Below are 19,956 nucleotides of genomic sequence, written 5' to 3'. Positions count from 1 at the left end.
CCACTCACAGTCTCTGGGCCCAGGTATCTTCGTCTATAAGACAGCAATAGTTTCTGCCCTCTGTATGTTTCATCATTATGAAGATCAAAGACAGTGACAGAAGAAGTGAGAAATAAACGGTAAAAAAATTGGATAATCTTTAAAATGAAGAACATAATAAAATACTAACCATAAACAGTAACTTACTTAAGAAAGAACGGTTGTAACATGAAGCTATTCAATTAATGTTTTCAGTAATTTAAGGTTAAGTGTGTCCTTTATTTGTCTTAAATGCCTTACCATAAGCAAAGATCTCAGCAACATTATCTGAATTCTCCTGGTTCCCAAATCCCTAAAATATACAAAAGGCTGAATTATTATACTAATTAGCATTTATATTACTTCATTTACTTCAATTACTGATTTTAAAATTCTATTCTTATTGGCTAAATAGATTTTATTTTTGTAACAGTTTAAGTCATGGCTCACTTCACATGCCAAAGTAAAATTTCACGTGAATTAAAACTATTATATTTAAAAATATCAAACAAAAAATTTGTTATTGGCTCTCAAACAGTCCTATGCATCTGATGACAAGAAAATTAAATCATATAAACAGACAACTAAACAACCCAAATTAAGGTACCTTAAATTGGAGAAAATAATTACTACATAGTTGATGAATATAATCTTTCTTTAACAAATATGAATAAACAGGTAAGAACAATTTTAAAAAATAACAAATTATGGTCAAAGAAATGTAAGTCGAATAAGATACTATTACTTCCTTATTAAATTAACAAAACAACATTCACAAACAAAAACTTCAGCATATTATAAAATCCAATTAAATGTATAAAATAAGGGGGTCACATAATCTTTAAAATTACTTTCAGTTCTAAAATTCTAGGAATAAGCCAATATTTCTGATATATTGACATTAATGTTTAAAATTTATACAGGAAACTTGAAGCTTTACCCTAAATGTGTATGCACACACACAATGTCCAGGCCAAACAATTTCTAAAGATGGAAATATCTGAGAATTTATAAGCTGAAAATGATTCTAAAGGCCTAAAAATGCTAATTCAATTGCTTAGCAATCTACTGTCATAATAATACTAACTGCTTTCCATAGGAATGCTATTACTAATGATTTTTAAAAAAAAACAAAACGTTAACATTTTCTAGATTTCGTTAGGATAAAATGTAACTCAAGATTAAGTTCAAATTTACAGTCTGAGAACATACCCTAGTTGACTGATATCCAAAGTATGGGTAGATGTTCCAAAGACAGGTACTTTCCCCATAATGAACATCATGATTTCTGACCTCTGATAATCTGGTAGGTTACTTCCAAAAAATCCTATGAAAGTATTAAGACAAATTTTAGAAACTGAAAAAGTCTACTTTTCCATATAATACAAAATTATTTTTAGCCAAAGTTTTCAATATGTGGTAAAACAATCCCTCACAAGTCTGTAAGCTACATGTAACATTAAAGGATATTACAATTTCATTTGTACAAAATCATTTAGTTATGTACAATATAAACTGTGTATAATGGACTGGTAGATAAAATGATAAATATATCAAAGTCTTTTTTTATATAATTATAACAGTGACAAACCGGGACTGACTTGAGTTGACTGGAGTTTTAGAAAAAGGAAAAATATTGGCCGGGTGTAGTGGCTCATGCCCATAATCCCAACACTTTGGGAGGCCGAGGTGTGCGGATCACCTGAGGTTGGGAGTTCGAGACCAGCCGGACCAACATGGTGAAACCTCGTCTCTACTAAAAATACAAAATTAGCTGGGCGTGGTGGCACATGCCTGTAATCCCAGCTACTCAGGAGGTTGAGGCAGGAGAATTGCTTGAACCTGGGAGGTGGAGGTCGCGGTGAGCCAAGATCGTGCCACTGCACTCCAGCCTGGGCAACAAGAGCAAAACTCTGTCTCCAAAAAAAAAAAAAAAAAAAATAGGAAAAAAAAAAGAAGGAAAAATATTTTGGTAGTATTTCTGATGAAATTCTAGTTCACACATCGTAAGCCTAAATTTTTGTTCCGGTAATCAGGCCACACATTGTCTGGTAAAGAAGTTAATAATTAGTCACTACTCTGGTTTTCCAGGATTTCTCAAATATTTGAATGTCATTGTAATAAGCCAAGTTTATAGTTTACCCCTGTGAATTAATTCAACATACATAATTCAACTGATGTAAAAAATAAGTAAATAACTTACTTGTCATTTTTCTTATGCAGTCTAGTTTCTGAGAATATTTTAAATTTATCTGCTGTAGCTTTTGATACTTACTTCCTGGTCACAAAAGATTTATAACCTTTAATTATCAATTACTCACACTTTAAAAGTTTCTTATTTCTTTGAAAGATTGGAACAGACTATCAAATCATGGCTGTTATGTTCCTTTCTTAAAATTCAATGTAGTCATTACAGAAACTTTCTGCATTTTTAGTATTTTTTAAGAATAAGCTGACTTTTCAATGTAACTGTTGAGCTTCTATTACTGGAGTTAATGATGTGTTTATATAAACTCAAACTGTTCTATTCATCATTTTGATTGGACTTAGGGGTAAAAGTCATTTCCCACAATCACGTACATTAGCAGTCAAAAATCTCATAACCTTAACATGACTCCATCTCCATAAAGTATATTGTTGTTAACACTTACGGAATACATATTTATGGAATAAGAAACTATTTTGTATTTGGATCCGCAAAATAACCTTTTGAGTCTAGGTTCTATTATTTGTCTCAGTTTCCTCTTATGGAAATGAGGATAAGAGAAGTCAAGAACTCTTACCAAAAAATTACACAGCTAACATTAGGGCCTGAGGTAAGGGTTATTTATTTCCAAAGCTTATGCTATTATTATTCTATACTTCTTCCATACAACTAGATACATTCCTAGTCTTGCAGAAAACTGGACACTGACCTTCTGTTTCAAACAACTTAGTTATTACCACAAGGACATAAAGTACCCTGCACTTCTCTTTACCACAGCACCTAACTACAGTAAAAGTTTGGAGTTAGCAAGCACTATCATACTTCCCTGTATTCAACAACATTTGTATCTCTGATTCAAGGTCATTCTTCATGCTTTTCAAATGCGTGGAATAGTTTCCTCTAATCCAGTGGTTCCCAAGCTTTGCTGCATATTATAATTACCTAGGGGAGCTTTTAACATGCTGATGCATAGGTTACATACCAAAGTAATTAAGTCAGAATATCTGGGGGTGGGAGTCCAAGCATCAGTACTTTTCTAAGATCCTGAGGTAATTTCAACGTTCAACAAAGTTAAGAACCACTGTCCTAAGGAAAAACTCTTATTTTTGTCTCCCAAGTATATGGTCAACTGAGTCCACTATCTCTGATGTTAATTAGACAAACGACTATTAAAGACCTAAAAATAATAATAGTAGGAAAGAAATGCAACTAATATATGCTTTAGAATTGCTTTGATTTTTTTTTAACTTAAAATTGGGTAGGAGTCTTCAACATGATTAACTCTAAGGATAAAGTCACCAAAAGCATCTCATTCACTATACCTACTGTTTGTATTTGAACTAGTGAACAGAAATGAGCCCAGAAGAAAAGAACACAGCAGGTAGCTATGTTCTTCACTATTTTAAAAGAAAGAGAAGTTGGCCAACAGCCTGATAACTTAAAGTGCAAAAGCTATAGCAGCCCTGTTCCATGGCCCACCGACAGGAATAACGCCATGATCTGACAACTGCCAGAATACTGAGAAATTAAAAAGGAAACTATTAAGGAAACCAGATTTTTTTTAAAAGTTTGATTTTAAAAGAGAAATCTTACTGTGCCACACTGCATTTCTTTCCTCTCATTTTTAAATTCTTACATGTTATTCTGAATGTGCTGTATCACAGAAATATGGCTTGAGTCTGCTATATATACATTTTATAATACTTAAGAAACAATACATTAAATATTCTAGAGTGAAAGAGTAACACTGAATTAATTAGAAGTCATTAAAGCAATGTAAATCAATTCTGTGAAAACAAGATTAGCTGATTTAACATCCTCGAATATCGCAAAAAATCTATAAATAACCGAAATAAATGTGAAAGTCACCACAGAAGCGAGGTTCACTATATATTAATACTAACTGTCTTAAGCAATAACTAGAATGTCTATGCTTTATTATGACTCCATGGTAATGTTGGAGTTTATGATATTTTGTCTTTTCAGTCAATCTCAAAATCTTAAGTGCCTACTTTGTGTTAGTGTGTTGAATGAGACACTCCTGGGTATTTCCCTTAATGAGGACAATTTCTAGACATGTGATGAGACTGCAACTAGATGAAACAGAGGTACCACTCCACACAGATCAACAAATGCCTCTACAAGGTGAGAGCCCCATGTATCATGAGGCCCTAGTACAAGAACTGGTGTACGCATATGTCCAATAAATAAATAGGTGGTGTCAATGGAGATGCAAAATGCATGTATGCATATCCATAAACTTCAAAAACAAGATGACCAAGAGAAACTCTGTATTAAGTATCCCAAAGGATTATTATAAATAAGTAGCCCATAAGTGAAAAAATTACCCAGATAAAAGGCATAAGCCCAGTTTCAGAAGAAATTTATATATGACTCTACTATTAATTGAAACTATTATTAGGTTAGAAATTAGGTACTAGACCCCAGGAATACAATCCAATTGTGAAATTATCATAGCAACCAGTTAGTTATATTAAAATATGATCTGGCTATCCTAAAGAAAATATTGAAAGAAAAAAGTTAAATTAGAAAAATAGCTTGCTTGCTTGAATCTGTATTTATACAGTCAGATTATTTCATTTCCAAAATTGTAAATTCTCATGGCTGTTTTCTTAAGGAAGCTCTTCACTGTTTGTACTTTGACTACAGACAGGAAAAAAAAAAAAGAAAATTTAAAAAAGAAAGAAAAGCATATGATATTAAAGTCCAAGATATTAGCATCCAGATCTTAGTCTCTAATACTACTATCCACTAAAAACAACCGCAGCTCCTTTGGAGAAATGACTGATTCCAGGGCTGGGGCAGAAAGTACAGAATTCGTCTGGAACCGCTTACTCAAGTAAGGCAGTGCTTTAAAAAAAAAAAAAAAAGGTTCAGGGAGGTGGGGGGATGTCTTGAAGGAGCTCCCATGAGCCAAATCAGGGACAATCTGAGCACTAAAATGATTAACTACAGTAATGAATTATAAACCATTAAAATATAAATCCATTGAGTTCATACCAATAAACAAATACATGCATTCCTACATACATAGAAAGGTAGAAAAGGGGGCCCCTGCTTACAATAGAACATTGAGAGGCAACTGATAGGTTTGGAAGGAGTGCTAGAGTTTAAAAACCATCATTTTGCAGCCATCATGGTAAAGACTAATTCAGACAAGAATTATAAATGATTGCTAGATCTAACCTTAAGTCTGGATGAAAAGCAGAATATCCGCATGATCTGAAAGTGTCTTCTCAGAGGTTGCTTATTATTTGCAATGGAAAAAACTAAAACTATACAGTGGAGGAATATAATAATGCCTTAAGTGATCAAAATTAATATAATGAAAAAGGAGCAAGTTACAGTGTGCACCTCTGGATGTGCTAATCTGAGAAGAACATATCACGTATGTAGTATTCCAGTCAGGAATATCTAACTTGAATTTTTTTTTTTTTTTTTGAGACGGAGTCTTGCTGTCGCCCAGACTGGAGTGCAGTGGCGCCATCTCGGCTCACTGCAAGCTCTGCCTCCCGGGTTCACGCCATGCTCCTGCCTCAGCCTCCCGCGTAGCTGGGACTACAGGTGCCCGCCACCTCGCCCGGCTAATTTTTTGTATTCTTAGTAGAGACGGGGTTTCACCGTGTTAGCTAGGATGGTCTTGATCTCCTGACCTCGTGATCCGCCCGCCTCAGCCTCCCAAAGTGCTGGGATTACAGGTGTGAGCCACCGCGCACGGCCTAATCACAAGGAAACACCATACAAAACCAAATGAAGAACTTTCTATTTTTAAAAAAGTGGGAGGGGGACTTTACTCATAAGAAATGTCCATGTCATAATGGAAATGTTCCTGACTAATGGACCTAAAGAAATATTACAACTAAATGCAATATATGATCCTAGACTGAATCTTGGATTCAAGGAAAAAAGTCAATATAGTACATTATTGGGTCAACTGATAAAACTGAAATATGAAAGGCTGATTCAAGTACTGGATCAATCCTAAATTTAGTGATGTTGACAATTTTACTCTGGTTATATTAAAAAGTACATTTATTTTTTGGAAAAATACATCAAAGTATTTAGTGGTAATAGACCATGATGTATGCAACTTCCTGTATCTCGTGGTTTAGAAAAAAATATGCATGTGTATGTGTGTATTCCCACATATACATACACACACAAAGAGACACACATAGGGAGAGAAAGAAACAGAGAGAGAGAGAAGGGAGGAAGAGATGCAGGAAAAAGAGAGTAAAAGCAAATGAAGAAGTAAATGCCATAAAATGTCAACAATAGATGAATTTGTGTCCTGCAGATTTAATGGAACAACATAGTGTTCTTTGTTCCATTCTCATGCTTGCTTGTTTTCGAAAATTAAATTTTCAGAAATTTAAGCTATCATTCATCTTTGACAAATGTACTATAATAGTCCAGGACCTTATGTGAGAGCTTTGTAAATCACTGTTTTACATGATAGTTTTGAAAAGTGAAATGTACTCACCTATTGTTTGGATGATAGCATTCTGCACAATCTTCTCATCATTGTCTTTGGAACTTGTATTTAAGTTGACACTGCCTACAGATCCCCCCTGTAAATCATTTGCTTCGAATTCAACGCTGAGACGCAGATGTTTCAAAAGGGTATTGAAGACTTCCAGCACTGTCGGACCTATAAAGGATCACTTATGTGAGAAGATACATGTTTCTAGTATTGCATATTTGAAGTCAATTACCTTATTTCTCCACAGATTGTTTCTGTAATTTTCTAAATAGTCAGAAATCCATAGTAATTTATAAACTATTTCATTTTTTTAAAAAAGAGTAAATGAGAAATAATTAAGAAAGACACTCATTATAACAACAAACATTTACTGGGCATTTATGAGCAACTCACCGTTTGAATCTCTGGTTCCACCCTTAAAAAATGTGTATAGGCATATAAGAATTACCAAAAACTTTCTAACTATTTAATCTTATCTGTTCACAATAATGTGTACTAGGACAATATTTAACTTAACTGCTAGGTAAGAATCCACAAAATTATGTAATATAGCTCACAGAAGCATCAAATATTTATTTTGTATCTTTTGAGACTGAAGGGAGAATATGCCTCAATTATGAGACAGAAACTACCAAATTTATTAGATTCAGGTTAACTGCATTTGTTCTCGCTTTTTGTATAAATCCTCTGCATGTGTTTCTATCACTGCTTCTGTCCACTTTATTTTAATTAGTGGGTTTCATTTCTGCCTTTTACTCTTGATTTAAGCTTCTTCAGGAAAGGCAGCCGTGTTTAAATGCCTCTTCAAACGTATAGAGCCTAGCACAGAGTACCTAACACACAGTAGACATTAATCGATGTGATGATTCAATGTATCATCTATGTTTTATTTCATTATTTGCAATTAAATAACTTTCCAATTAAATAACCAGTTTTATCTCTTCAAGTTACAAGATAAAACAGAAAATTCACATCCAAGATGCCCACCTTTATTTGACAATAAAAGAACAAAGGAATACAGTTGGTCCTCCATATCTGCAGTTCTGGATTCACAGATTCAACCAACTATGGGTTGAAAATATTCGGGGGAAAAAAAAAACCCACGATAAAAAAAAAAAACACACACAAATAAAAAAGCAATACAGTGTAACAACTAATCACATAGCATTTACACTGCATTAGGTATTATAAATAATCTAAAGATGATGTGAAGTATATTGGAGGGTGTGCAAAGGTTATATGCAAAAACTACGCCATTTTATATACAGAATTTGAGTACCTGCAGAGTTAGGTATTCTCAGGGGTCCTCGAACCAATCCCCTGCAGATACTGAGGGATGACTATATCATTAGATAATATATTTCCACTTTGAATTTCAAGCAAAGAAACCATAACCAGATTCTCCTTCAAACTTCTGTATTTCTAATATGCACTATTTCATTTTTGTAGTTACATGTAAGTAAAATATCGTAATTTTTGAACTATCCCTTTTTCTCATTAACCCATTATCAAATCCTATCAACTTGACATTGTCATTCCTACTGCTTCCATGCAAGGGCAAGTTCTTTTCCACATGGATATAACAATGACACTGACTTGTTATTTCTAATGTGCCCTACATTTTGCTGCCAGAAAAATTATCCTATAGCACATTTCTCATGAAGATTACAGTAAATCTTTAAGGACTATTAATCAGCTGAAGAACTATGTCCACAATTTGGCTACAACTTAATTTTAAAGCCACTTCTCTGACTTCTAAACTAACACCATACATTCTACCCAAAATGGGCCACATAAAATTTTGCTTGTGCTAATCCTAATCCATTTTCCCTCCCTTCTGTAAACCCTGGCTTTTTAAATGATATGTGATCAAAGCTTGCCACATATTACAGTATTAGGTGGAGCTGTCTAATCACAAGTACACCATCAGTTTCTTATATCTGCATTCTCTCAATGTTCAGTATATAATCAATACTCAAAAACCTTTATTAGAAGAAGGAAAGGGAGGAGGAATTGATGTGAAGGAAAATACTTAACTGTGTGCTAAAGAAGCCTGAAAATAATTGCATGAACCCAAATTTCAAAAAAAATTATTGTACACCGAAAAATGTGTAGAAATATTCTTAAAGAGTTCTTCATACACTGCTATGCATACTGAAAGGACACTTTGAACCAGATCAACGCACTATTTTATTTTATTTATTGGCACTCACCTATGGAACCTTTAGCAGCAATGGCAACAGCCTCTAACAGAACCTGAATAATACCTGCTCGAACCCGGGGAGCATCTTTTTTACGAGCATCAAGGTGTCCTAGAATCTCCTGGATCACATGGTGAGAATACTGAGCCTGAAGGAGACAAAACAGTACAAAGATGTATAAAAAGTACATGTACCTTGGCAGAATTCCTAAGAATAAAAAAAACACCTGACACGTAAATGACCAATTAGTGACTGGTGGTCATGTTATGAGACAATAAATAGCCACAATACAAAGCCATTCTTTTAAAGAATAAACAGAGATGCTGGAAAATATTTATGACACTCTGAGTGAAAAAAAGCATACTGCACAATTCTATGTTTAATAAAATTCAATCTAGTTTTTAAAAAGTAAATTAAAATTATATATAAAAAGATTAACACTGGCCACCTCTGAGAAAGGGATTTATGAGAAAACTTCATTATCTTTATATTTCTCTGTAATTTCAAAGTGCATTTATAAACTTTTATAATAGGACAAAATTTTGTAAAAAACATAAATTATGACATTCACAGTATTTTCCCATAGCCAAACTAGATAAATACTATTTAACATGGACACCTAACAATGCTAAAGAGTCAAAACACTCATCTAATCAAGAGCTAGTGTCAAAATGAAAATATTATCCATGTGTACCTGACAAAATTTAAATCAAGGAGATCTCAAAAGATGTGCAATTAACAAAGGCAACTTTATCACATATAAATAAAATTGATCAACCATAGTGAATGATATTGGGGCCTAAATCAAAAAAAGGATAGCCAAAAAAATGTTTATTCTTAACTCCAGTGAATAGGTTTTTTTTTTTTTTTTGAAGAACAGCAAAGTTTTGTTTTTTTAAAACCTACACTTACACCCATGAGTCACGATCGGTCTACTATCATCCACCAAGCTGTAAAAAGCACCTGTGGCTCTCAATCTCCCTGTCTGTATTTGTCTTCAGACAGGTCCCCTCTGCCCTGTTTTCAGGCTGGTTACCTTTCTTTCCTTTGGAATGTGTGGTTTGATAAGAAGCAGGAGTGCCCTATGCATAATGGTTACTCTGCTCAAAAGCAAAAAGTTCCCCTCCTTCTCTATCAAGTAACAGATTTCATCTCTAGGTATTTCTCAAATTTTTGTCATAATACACATCTACTTTTAAAATCACCCAAGGTAAAAACTAAGTTTGTGTTTTCATCTTTACTTTGTTTCATTTAAAGTTATGTTAAAATAGATGAATGTTAGGCAGGAAGACACACACAAAACCTGAAACTGAACTTCTTGTCCAGGAAGCTGCATGCTTCTGATGTGTGAACCTTGTGCAATTATTAGTCTGCCTTTATAGGTAAGGTAGCCATTTGATTTACTGTCCAAATGGGGACACTGCAGAGAGTGAAGGAGGTATTATCAATAATTATAAAGTACGACTATACTAAGCAAACCAGAGCATGTGTTCTTTCTACTTATAAAGAACAACTCAAGAATGATATCATGTATTAAACAAAAGAATATGGAGTGAAAGGAAGGAAAGTGAGAAGACGTAATACAGTATGTTGAAGTCATGTGTACTGAGGTTTCATTTACCTATGGTAAAATTTGCCCTTACACTGAAGTTTAAGGCAATGTTAACAGATGAATCGCTTTAAGACGCAACATAATACAGTGGTGGTGAAGTACATAAGCCCTGGAGCCAAACTCGCCCAAGATCGAATTCTGACTATCATTTAATAGCTAAATAGCTCTCAGATTAAGAGAGCATTTTATTTAATCTCCCTGTAACTCAGTTTCTCTCATCTACAATATTTAAACAATAACAATTACTCATAGGATTCTTGGGGCAATTAAATGAGTTAATTTGTATAAAGCACCCAAATTGTGTCTATTGTATGAAAAATGCTTAATATGTATTAGTTATTATTACTACTTTTCAATTTGTGACTTGTGAGCTAATATATGACTATTAACATTGAACATAACAATAATGACGACAAAAGAGCATTTCATTCAGAAGTGACCAGAAGCACTGGCACTCTTCTAAGTACTATATATGTATTATTTACATAAACAGTTCTAGGAGGTAGGTTCACCGTAATTACTCCATGCTCTTCACAGTATAAATAAGGCAAGTTTTAGTAACTTGTCTAAGGTCATGCAGAAACTCTTTTTTTTGTTGCTTTTTATTTATTTATTTTTTTATTAAACTTTAAGTTTTAGGGTACATGTGCACAATGTGCAGGTTTGTGACATATGTATACATGTGCCATGTTGGTGTGCTGCACCCATTAACTCGTCATTTACGTTAGGTATATCTCCTAATGCTATCCCTTCCCCCTCACCCCACCCCACAACAGGCCCCAGTGTGTGATGTTCCCCTTCCTGTGTCCATGTGTTCTCACTGTTCAATTCCCACCTATGAGTGAGAACATGCGGTGTTTGGTTTTTTGTCCTTGCGATAGTTTGCTGAGAATGATGGTTTCCAATTTCATCCATGTCCCTACAAAGGACATGAACTCATCATTTTTTATGGCTGCATAGTATTCCATGGTGTATATGTGCCACATTTTCTTAATCCAGTCTATCATTGTTGGACATCTGGGTTGGTTCCAAGTCTTTGCTATTGTGAATAGTGCCGCAATAAACATACGTGTGCATGTGTCTTTATAGCAGCATGATTTACAATCCTTTGGGTATATACCCAGTAATGGGATGGCTGGGTCAAATGGTATTTCTAGTTCTAGATCCCTGAGGAATTGCCACACTGCCTTCCACAATGGTTGAACTAGTTTACAGTCCCACCAACAGTGTAAAAGTGTGCCTATTTCTCTACATCCTCTCCAGCACCTGTTGTTTCCTGACTTTTTAATGATTGCCATTCTAATTGGCGTGAGATGGTATCTCATTGTGGTTTTGATTTGCATTTATCTGATGGCCAGTGATGATGAGCATTATCTCATGTGTCTTTTGGCTGCATAAATGTCTTCTTTTGAGAAGTGTCTGTTCATATCCTTCACCCACTTGTTGATGTTGTTTTTTTCTTGCAAACTTGTTTTGAGTTCTTTGTGGAGTCTGCATATTAGCCCTTCGTCAGATGAGTAGATTGCAAAAATTTTCTCCCATTCTGTAGGTTGCCTGTTGACTCTGATGGTAGTTTCTTCTGCTGTGCAGAAGCTCTTTAGTTTAATTAGATCCCATTTGTCAATTGTGGCTTTTGTTGCCATTGCTTTTGGTGTTTTAGACATGAAGTCCTTGCCCATGCCTATGTCCTGAATGGTATTGCCTAGGTTTTCTTCTAGGGTTTTTATGGTTTTAAGTCTAACATTTAAGTCTTTAATCCATCTTGAATTAATTTTTGTATAAGGTGTAAGGAAGGGATCCAGTTTCAGCTTTCTACATATGGCTAGCCAGTTTTCCCAGCACCATTTAGTAAATAGGGAATCCTTTCCCCATTTCTTGTTTTTCTCAGGTTTGCCAAAGATCAGAGAGTTGTAGATATGTGGCATTATTTCTGAGGGCTCTGTTCTGTTCCATTGGTCTATATCTCTGTTTTGGTACCAGTACCATGCTGTTTTGGTTACCGTAGCCTTGTAGTACAATTTGAAGTCAGGTAGCGTGATGACTCCAGCTTTGTTCTTTGGCTTAGCATTGACTTGGCAATGCGGGCTCTTTTTTTGGTTCCATATGAACTTTAGTTTTTTCCAATTCTATGAAGAAAGTCATTGGTAGCTTGATGGGGATGGCATTGAATCTATAAATTACCTTGGGCAGTATGGACATTTTCATGATATTGATTCTTCTACCATGAGCATGGAATGTTCTTCCATTTGTTTATATAGTCTTTTATTTCGTTGAGCAGTGGTTTGTAGTTCTCCTTGAAGAGGTCCTTCACATCCCCTGTAAGTTGGATTCCTAGGTATTTTATTCTCTTTGAAGCAATTGTGAATGGGAGTTCACTCATGATTTGGCTCTCTGTTTGTCTGTTATTGGTGTATAAGAATGCTTGTGATTTTTGCACATTGATTTTGTATCCTGAGACTTTGCTGAAGTTGCTTATCAGCTTAAGGAGATTTTGGGCTGAGATGATGGGGTTTTTTAGATATACAATCATGTCATCTGCAAACAGGGACAATTTGACTTCCTCTTTTCCTAATTGAATACCCTTTATTTCCTTCTCCTGCCTGATTGCCCTGGCCAGAACTTCCAACACTATGTTGAATACGAGTGGTGAGAGAGGGCATCCCTGTCTTGTGCCAGTTTTCAAAGGGAATGCTTCCAGTTTTTCCCCATTCAGTATGATATTGGCTGTGGGTTTGTCATAGACAGCTCTTATTATCTTGAGATACGTCCCATCAATACCTAATTTATTGAGAGTTTTTAGCATGAAGCGTTGTTGAATTTTGTCAAAGGCCTTTTCTGCATCTATTGAGATAATCATGCGGTTTTTGTCTTTGGTTCTGTTTATATGCTGGATTACATTTATCGATTTGCGTATGTTGAACCAGCCTTGCATCCCAGGGATGAAGCCCACTTGATCATGGTGGATAAGCTTTCTGATGTGCTGCTGGATTTGGTTTGCCAGTATTTTATTGAGGATTTTTGCATCGATGTTCATCAGGGATATTGGTCTAAAATTCTCTTTTTTTGATGTGTCTCTGCCAGGCTTTGGTATCAGGATGATGCTGGCCTCATAAAATGAGTTAGGGAGGATTCCCTCTTTTTCTATTGATTGGAATAGTTTCAAAAGGCATGGTACCAGCTCCTCCTTGTACCTCTGGTAGAAATCGGCTGTGAATCCACCTGGTCCTGGACTTTTTTTGGTTGGTAAGCTATTAATTATTGCCTCGATTTCAGAGCCTGTTATTGGTCTATTCAGAGATTCAATTTATTCCTGGTTTAGTCTTGTGAGGGTGTGTGTGTCCAGGAATTTAACTATTTCTTCTAGATTTTCTAGTTTATTTGTGTAGAGGTGTTTATAGTATTCTCTGATGGTAGTTTGTATTTCTGTGGGATCGGTGGTGATATCCCCTTTATCATTTTTTATTGCATCTATTTGATTCTTCTCTCTTTTCTTCTGTATTAGTCTTGCTAGCAGTCTATCAATTTTGTTGATCTTTTCAAAAAACCAGCTCCTGGATTCACTGATTTTTTGAAGGGTTTTTTGTGTCTCTATCTCCTTCAGTTCTGCTCTGATCTTAGTTATTTCTTGCCTTCTGCTAGCTTTTGAATGTGTTTGCTCTTGCTTCTCTAGTTCTTTTAATTGTGATGTTAGGGTGTCAATTTTTAGATCTTTCCTGCTTTCTCTTGTGGGCATTTAGTGCTATAAATTTCCCTCTACACACAGCTTTAAATGTGTCCCAGAGATTCTGGTATGTTGTGTCTTTGTTCTCATTGGTTTCAAAGAACATCTTCATTTCTGCCTTCATTTCGTTATATACCCAGTAGTCATTCAGGAGCAGGTTGCTCAGTTTCCATGTAGTTGAGTGGTTTTGAGTGAGTTTCTTAATCCTGAGTTCTACTTTGATTGCATTGTGGTCTGAGAGACAGTTTGTTATAATTTCTGTTCTTTTACATTTGCTGAGGAGTGCTTTACTTCCAACTATGTGGTCAATTTTGGAATAAGTGTGGTGTGGTGCTGAGAAGAATGTATATTCTGTTGATCTGGGGTGGAGAGTTTTGTAGATGTCTATTAGGTCCACTTGGTGCAGAGCTGAGTTCAATTCCTGGATATCCTTGTATATCCTTGTTAACTTTCTGTCTCATTGATCTGTCTAATGTTGACAGTGGGGTGTTAAAGTCTCCCACTACTATTGTGTGGGAGTCTACGTCTCTTTCTAGTCTCTAACGACTTGCTTTATGAATCTGGGTGCTCCTGTATTGGGTGCATATATATTTAGGAGAGTCAGCTCTTCTTGTTGAATTGATCCCTTTACCATTATGTAATAGCCTTCTTTGTTTCTTTTGATCTTTGTTGGTTTAAAGTCTGTTTTATCAGAGACTAGGATTGCAACACCTGCCGTTTTTTGTTTTCCATTTGCTTGGTAGATCTTCCTCCATCCCTTTATTTTGAGCCTATGTGTGTCTCTGCACGTGAGATGGGTTTCCTGAATACAGCACACTGATGGGTCTTGACTCTTAATCCAATTTGCCAGTCTGTGACTTTTAATTGCAGCATTTAGCCCATTTACATTTAAGGTTAATATTGTTATGTGTGAATTTGATCCTGTCATTATGATGTTAGCTGGTGATTTTGCTCGTTAGTTGATGCAGTTTCTTCCTAGCCTCGATGGTCTTTACAATTTGGCATGTTTTTGCAGTGGCTGGTACCGGTTGTTCCTTTCCATGTTTAGTGCTTCCTTCAGGAGCTCTTGTAAGGCAGGCCTGGTGGTGACAAAATCTCTCAGCATTTGCTTGTCTGTAGAGTATTTTATTTCTCCTTCACTTATGAAGCTTAGTTTGGCTGGATATGAAATTCTGGGTTGAAAATTCTTTTCTTTAAGAATGTTGAATATTGGCCCCCACTCTCTTCTGGCTTGTAGAGTTTCTGCCAAGAGATCCGCTGTTACTCTGATGGGCTTCCCTTTGTGGGTAACCCGACCTTTCTCTCTGGCTGCCCTTAATATTTTTTCCTTCATTTCAACTTTGGTGAATCTGACAATTATGTGTCTTGGAGTTGCTCTTCTCGAGGAGTATCTTTGTGGCATTCTCTGTATTTCCTGAATCTGAATGCTGGCCTGCCTTGCTAGATTGGGGAAGTTCTCCTGGATAATATCCTGCAGTGTTTTCCAACTTGGTTCCATTCTCCCCGTCACTTTCAGGTACACCAATCAGACGTAGATTTGGTCTTTTCACGTAGTCCCATATTTCTTGGAGGCTTTGTGTGTTTCTTTTTATTCTTTTTTCTCTAAACTTCTCTTCTCGCTTCATTTCATTCATTTGATCTTCCATCACTGATAACCTTTCTTCCAGTTGATCGAATCGGCTACTGAAGCTTGTGCATTCGTCAAGTAGTTCTCGTGCCATGGTTTTCAGCTCCATCAGGTCCTTTAAGGACTTCTCTGCATTGGTTATTCTAGTTAGCCATTTGTCTAATCTTTTTTCAAGGTTTTTAACTTCTTTGCCATGGGTTCGAACTTCCCCCTTTAGCTCGGAGAAGTTTGATCGTCTGAAGCCTTCTTCTCTCAACTTGTCAAAGTCATTCTCCATCCAGCTTTGTTCCATTGCTGGTGAGGAGCTGCATTCCTTTGGAGGAGGAGAGGCGCTCTGATTTTTAGAATTTTCAGTTTTTCTGCTCTGTTTTTCCCCATCTTTGTGGTTTTATCTACCTTTGGTCTTTTATGATGGTGACGTAAAGATGGGGTTTTGGTGTGGATGTCCTTTCTGTTTGTTAGCTTTCCTTCTAACAGTCAGGACCCTCAGCTGCAGGTCTGTTGGGAGTTCGCCAGAGGTCCACTCCAGACCCTGTTTGCCTGGGTATCAGCAGCGGAGGCTGCAGAACAGTGAATACAGGTGAACAGCAAATGTTGCTGCCTGCAGAAACTCTTAAGGAAGAGCCTAATAGTGAACTCTGTCTGATCCCAGAGTACAACTCTTAATCACATCTTATTACCCTCAAGAAATAAATTTAGCACAAAAGATAGGCTTTAAGTAAAATACTTTCCCTTTACCAGAAATGCCTTACTATATTTGAAACTATGTAAACCCTTAAGGATATAAATCCTGGTCAAGACCAGTTTGTTTGTTTTATGGAGAGAGGGTGAAATATTACCTAAGAATGATACCTGCACCAATTTTATGGTAAATGGTAACTAAAACACTCAAAGCTATCCAAAGTTTTAATTGTACAATGATAATACACAGAAATTCTTATTCTAGTATATACTACCATTTCCAGAAATATTATACATGTTTTCCCAAATTGCCAAACCCTGTCATAAAACAATAGTAAAATACTAGACTATAGCTATCCCTTGATATACTTGGGGATAGGTTCCAGCCCCACCCCATACCAAAATCTGCACATATTCAAGTCCTGCAGTTGGCCCTGTGAGGAAAAAAATCAGCCCCCATATACGTGGGGTTTTGAATCCGACAAATAATAGATTTAGGATCTGCATTTTGTTGGAAAAAAAAAATCTATACTATAAGTGGACCTGCACAGTTGAAACTCATGTTATTCAAGGATCAGCTATATGTAAGACTTTCTGATATCCACATAAAATGACAAGAAAGGAAAGTCCCTTAGTCTAAACTCCACAAGAAGGTAAGCATCTGGAAAGGCAAGTGCACACTGAAGCCAGCAGCAGTCCCAGGCAAATCTTCAGCTTTCCAGTGCCCAAAGCTACTCATTTAAATGGTTGTATACATAGGAGACTAGATACAAAGCTTAGGGCCCATCCAGGAAAGGAAGGCTATGAGATTAGAAATCCCTGTGATAATTCGGAACCCCTAAAAGACAACACCCTCAATGAATCAGGGGATAGCAGGAGACTGTCAAGAAGCTTGTCTGTGTTGGCCTTGGCTCTGAGGGGAACCGTGATAGAATGATTTAGTTATTTTTATTAGATCTATCTTTTTATCTTGGCAAATAAGAAAATAAGTAGCAAATGAAAATGAATGAGACAAAAGAGCTAAATTAAGAGCAATGATTTATATCCTACAGCTTCCCACATCTGTTTGATAATGTGCTTATCCATAGAGAACCAAAATTACTTATATAAATACAGTAAATAGTTAATCAAACCTTACCTGAATGGAATACATTATAATTTTAAAGCAGTGAACTGCAAATTCATTGGGATCCCACAGTTTGTGATGATCTAAATGCCTGCAAATAACAAAAATTACTTTAAAATTCTCTATTTTACTATACTTTCTTCCTCTAGAAACCTCAACAATAGGAAAAGCTTAATAGTGAGAATATTACCTAAAAGAAAAGCAAGATTTCAATTTAATTCTTAAGTAATGAACTTCATGAAATATATGTTGCAATTAAAGCTATTTCTAAAGCAATGCTGTGGACCAGAAGTAGTTTCGTGAACATTTAATCAACAAATATTTATTGATTCCATTTTTTTAATGTTGTGATTTATTAATTTACTTCTCTCAAAGGGTAATTTTAACTAACAAGTAAATCTGAATGAAAGAGGGTGAATGAAGGACAAATACAAGGCTGGAAAACAACAGGGGAACAGCCTTAGATTATATTCACAGATTGCCAGATCTACTTCTCACCTACTGTATCAAAATTAAATTTTAAAAATTGTCCTTCCATATCGAAACCAGCTTTATTGTAACTATCATTTGTTGAAAATATACTTTATGCTAGGCATATATTATCAACCTTAATGGTTAATCTAGACCATGGGTTCAGGAATAAAATGATCAGAATTTGAATTCTGACTTCATTTTCTACCTATATGTCCTTGTCCATGAGTGAGTTACTTGACTTCTCTAAGGGTCAGTTCTCTGACCTGGAAAATGGGGATAATAACATCCATTTCATAGGGTAAAAGGATTAAGTAAGATAAAGTATATAAGGTTATTAGCATAGTCACAGGGCGCAGCCAGCACTTGATAAGTGGTAGCTTCTATTTTAATATATAAATAAACCATTTAATGCATGCATTCAAAACTCTTCAAAGGTGAAAAAATTGGAGCTCAGAGAGGTTGAATGAGTTTTTCAAGTTCATACAACTAATAAACAGCACATCCTGATATGACCTATATTAACATCTGTGCTGCTTCTTATAACTTTCATTTCCTTGAAAGTAATAATTACTTTTTGGGTCATTAAAAATGGAAATGGTACAAAAAAAAAAAAGACCTGAAATCCCTCTTGAATCATCGTAGTTATTAAGGTCTACTACGTGTTACATACTATGCTCTAGGCTCTATACATTCGAAGAAGAATTTGAACATGGCTACCTGTTCTAAAGAAGCCTGAATGAAGAGTAGAAGGCAGAAATGAAACCCACTAATTAAAATAAAGTGGACAGAAGCAGTGATAGAAACACATTCAGAGAATTTACAGAACAAAATGCAGAAAACAAATGCACAGTTAACCTGAATCTGATAAATTGGGTAGTTTGCCTTATAATTGAGGCAAATTCTTCCATCTTCACTCTCAGAAGATATAAAATAAATCTTTAATGCTAATATGACCTGCATTATCATGATCTTATGGATTCTTACCCAATAGTCAAGTTAAATATCGTCCAATACAATATTTATCTCCTAAGAGGCAGAAAAATAAACTTTATTTACCGCTTCAAGCATGCTACCAATTACTTATAGTTCGCATATGCACTTGTCAAGAATTTTATTACAGTAACCTGCTAACATACTGGCCCTGGCTCAAATGTGTCCTATATAGCTCTATCTGATTAACTTTCTCAAAGGGAAATTATAGCCACTTTATACTTTTGAGCTAAGGTCTCCACTAATTATCTATAAACTTAAATATAAAATTTTAAGATCTCTACAGTATAGCCTAAACATTTTCCCTCTTATCTCACCGTAACCCCTAAACTATATTCAACACTCCAGCCAACAATATCAGTGTCTTGTGCTCACTGTTGATTAAAAATATGATATTCAAAATTTCTTTTAAATCATCTATTATTTTCTTTACTCGATCAAATAATAATTGAAATTAAAAACCTACTTCAATGTCAAACAAAAGCATTCTTTACAAATAAAATACAATTTCCAGAGCAGTTTTTGATAACTACCTTCATCTACATTAAAAGATACTGGCCCTGGCAGGGTGCTGTGGCTCATGCCTGTAATCCCAGCACTATGGGATGCCAAGGCAGGCAGATCACCTGAGGTTGGGAGCTCGAGACCAGCCTGAACAACATGGCGAAATCTCATCTCTACTAAAAATACAAAATTGGCCAGGCATGGTGGCGCATGCCTATAATCCAAGCTACTCGGGAGGCTGAGGCAGGAGAATCACTGGAACCCAGGAGGCAGAGGTTGTGGTGAGCCAAGA

At 35.6% G+C, this 19,956-nt stretch overlaps 1 protein-coding gene across 11 annotated transcripts in view; it reads right to left on the bottom strand.

The window, feature by feature from the left end:
- The window catches only part of EFR3A (EFR3 homolog A), a 109,550-nt gene that overhangs the window by 36,271 nt on the left and 53,323 nt on the right, over positions 1-19,956 (bottom strand). For all 11 annotated transcript variants that reach the window (NR_136615.2, NR_136616.2, NM_001323555.2 and 8 more), the window contains exons 8-12: positions 17,709-17,787; positions 8,942-9,077; positions 6,729-6,896; positions 1,231-1,345; positions 280-331 (exon numbers count right to left, since the gene is read on the bottom strand). Coding sequence is in view for 9 of the 11 variants with exons in the window: in NM_001323555.2 (NP_001310484.1) it covers positions 280-331; positions 1,231-1,345; positions 6,729-6,896; positions 8,942-9,077; positions 17,709-17,787 (550 nt within the window). In the remaining 2 variants the exon portion in view is untranslated. The remainder of the gene's footprint in view (positions 1-279; positions 332-1,230; positions 1,346-6,728; positions 6,897-8,941; positions 9,078-17,708; positions 17,788-19,956) is intronic.

Source organism: Homo sapiens, chromosome 8 (assembly GCF_000001405.40).
Source record: "Homo sapiens chromosome 8, GRCh38.p14 Primary Assembly".
NCBI lineage: Eukaryota > Metazoa > Chordata > Mammalia > Primates > Hominidae > Homo > Homo sapiens.
Note: the sequence above shows the minus strand (reverse complement) of the source record. Positions and strands in the feature narration are given on the sequence as shown.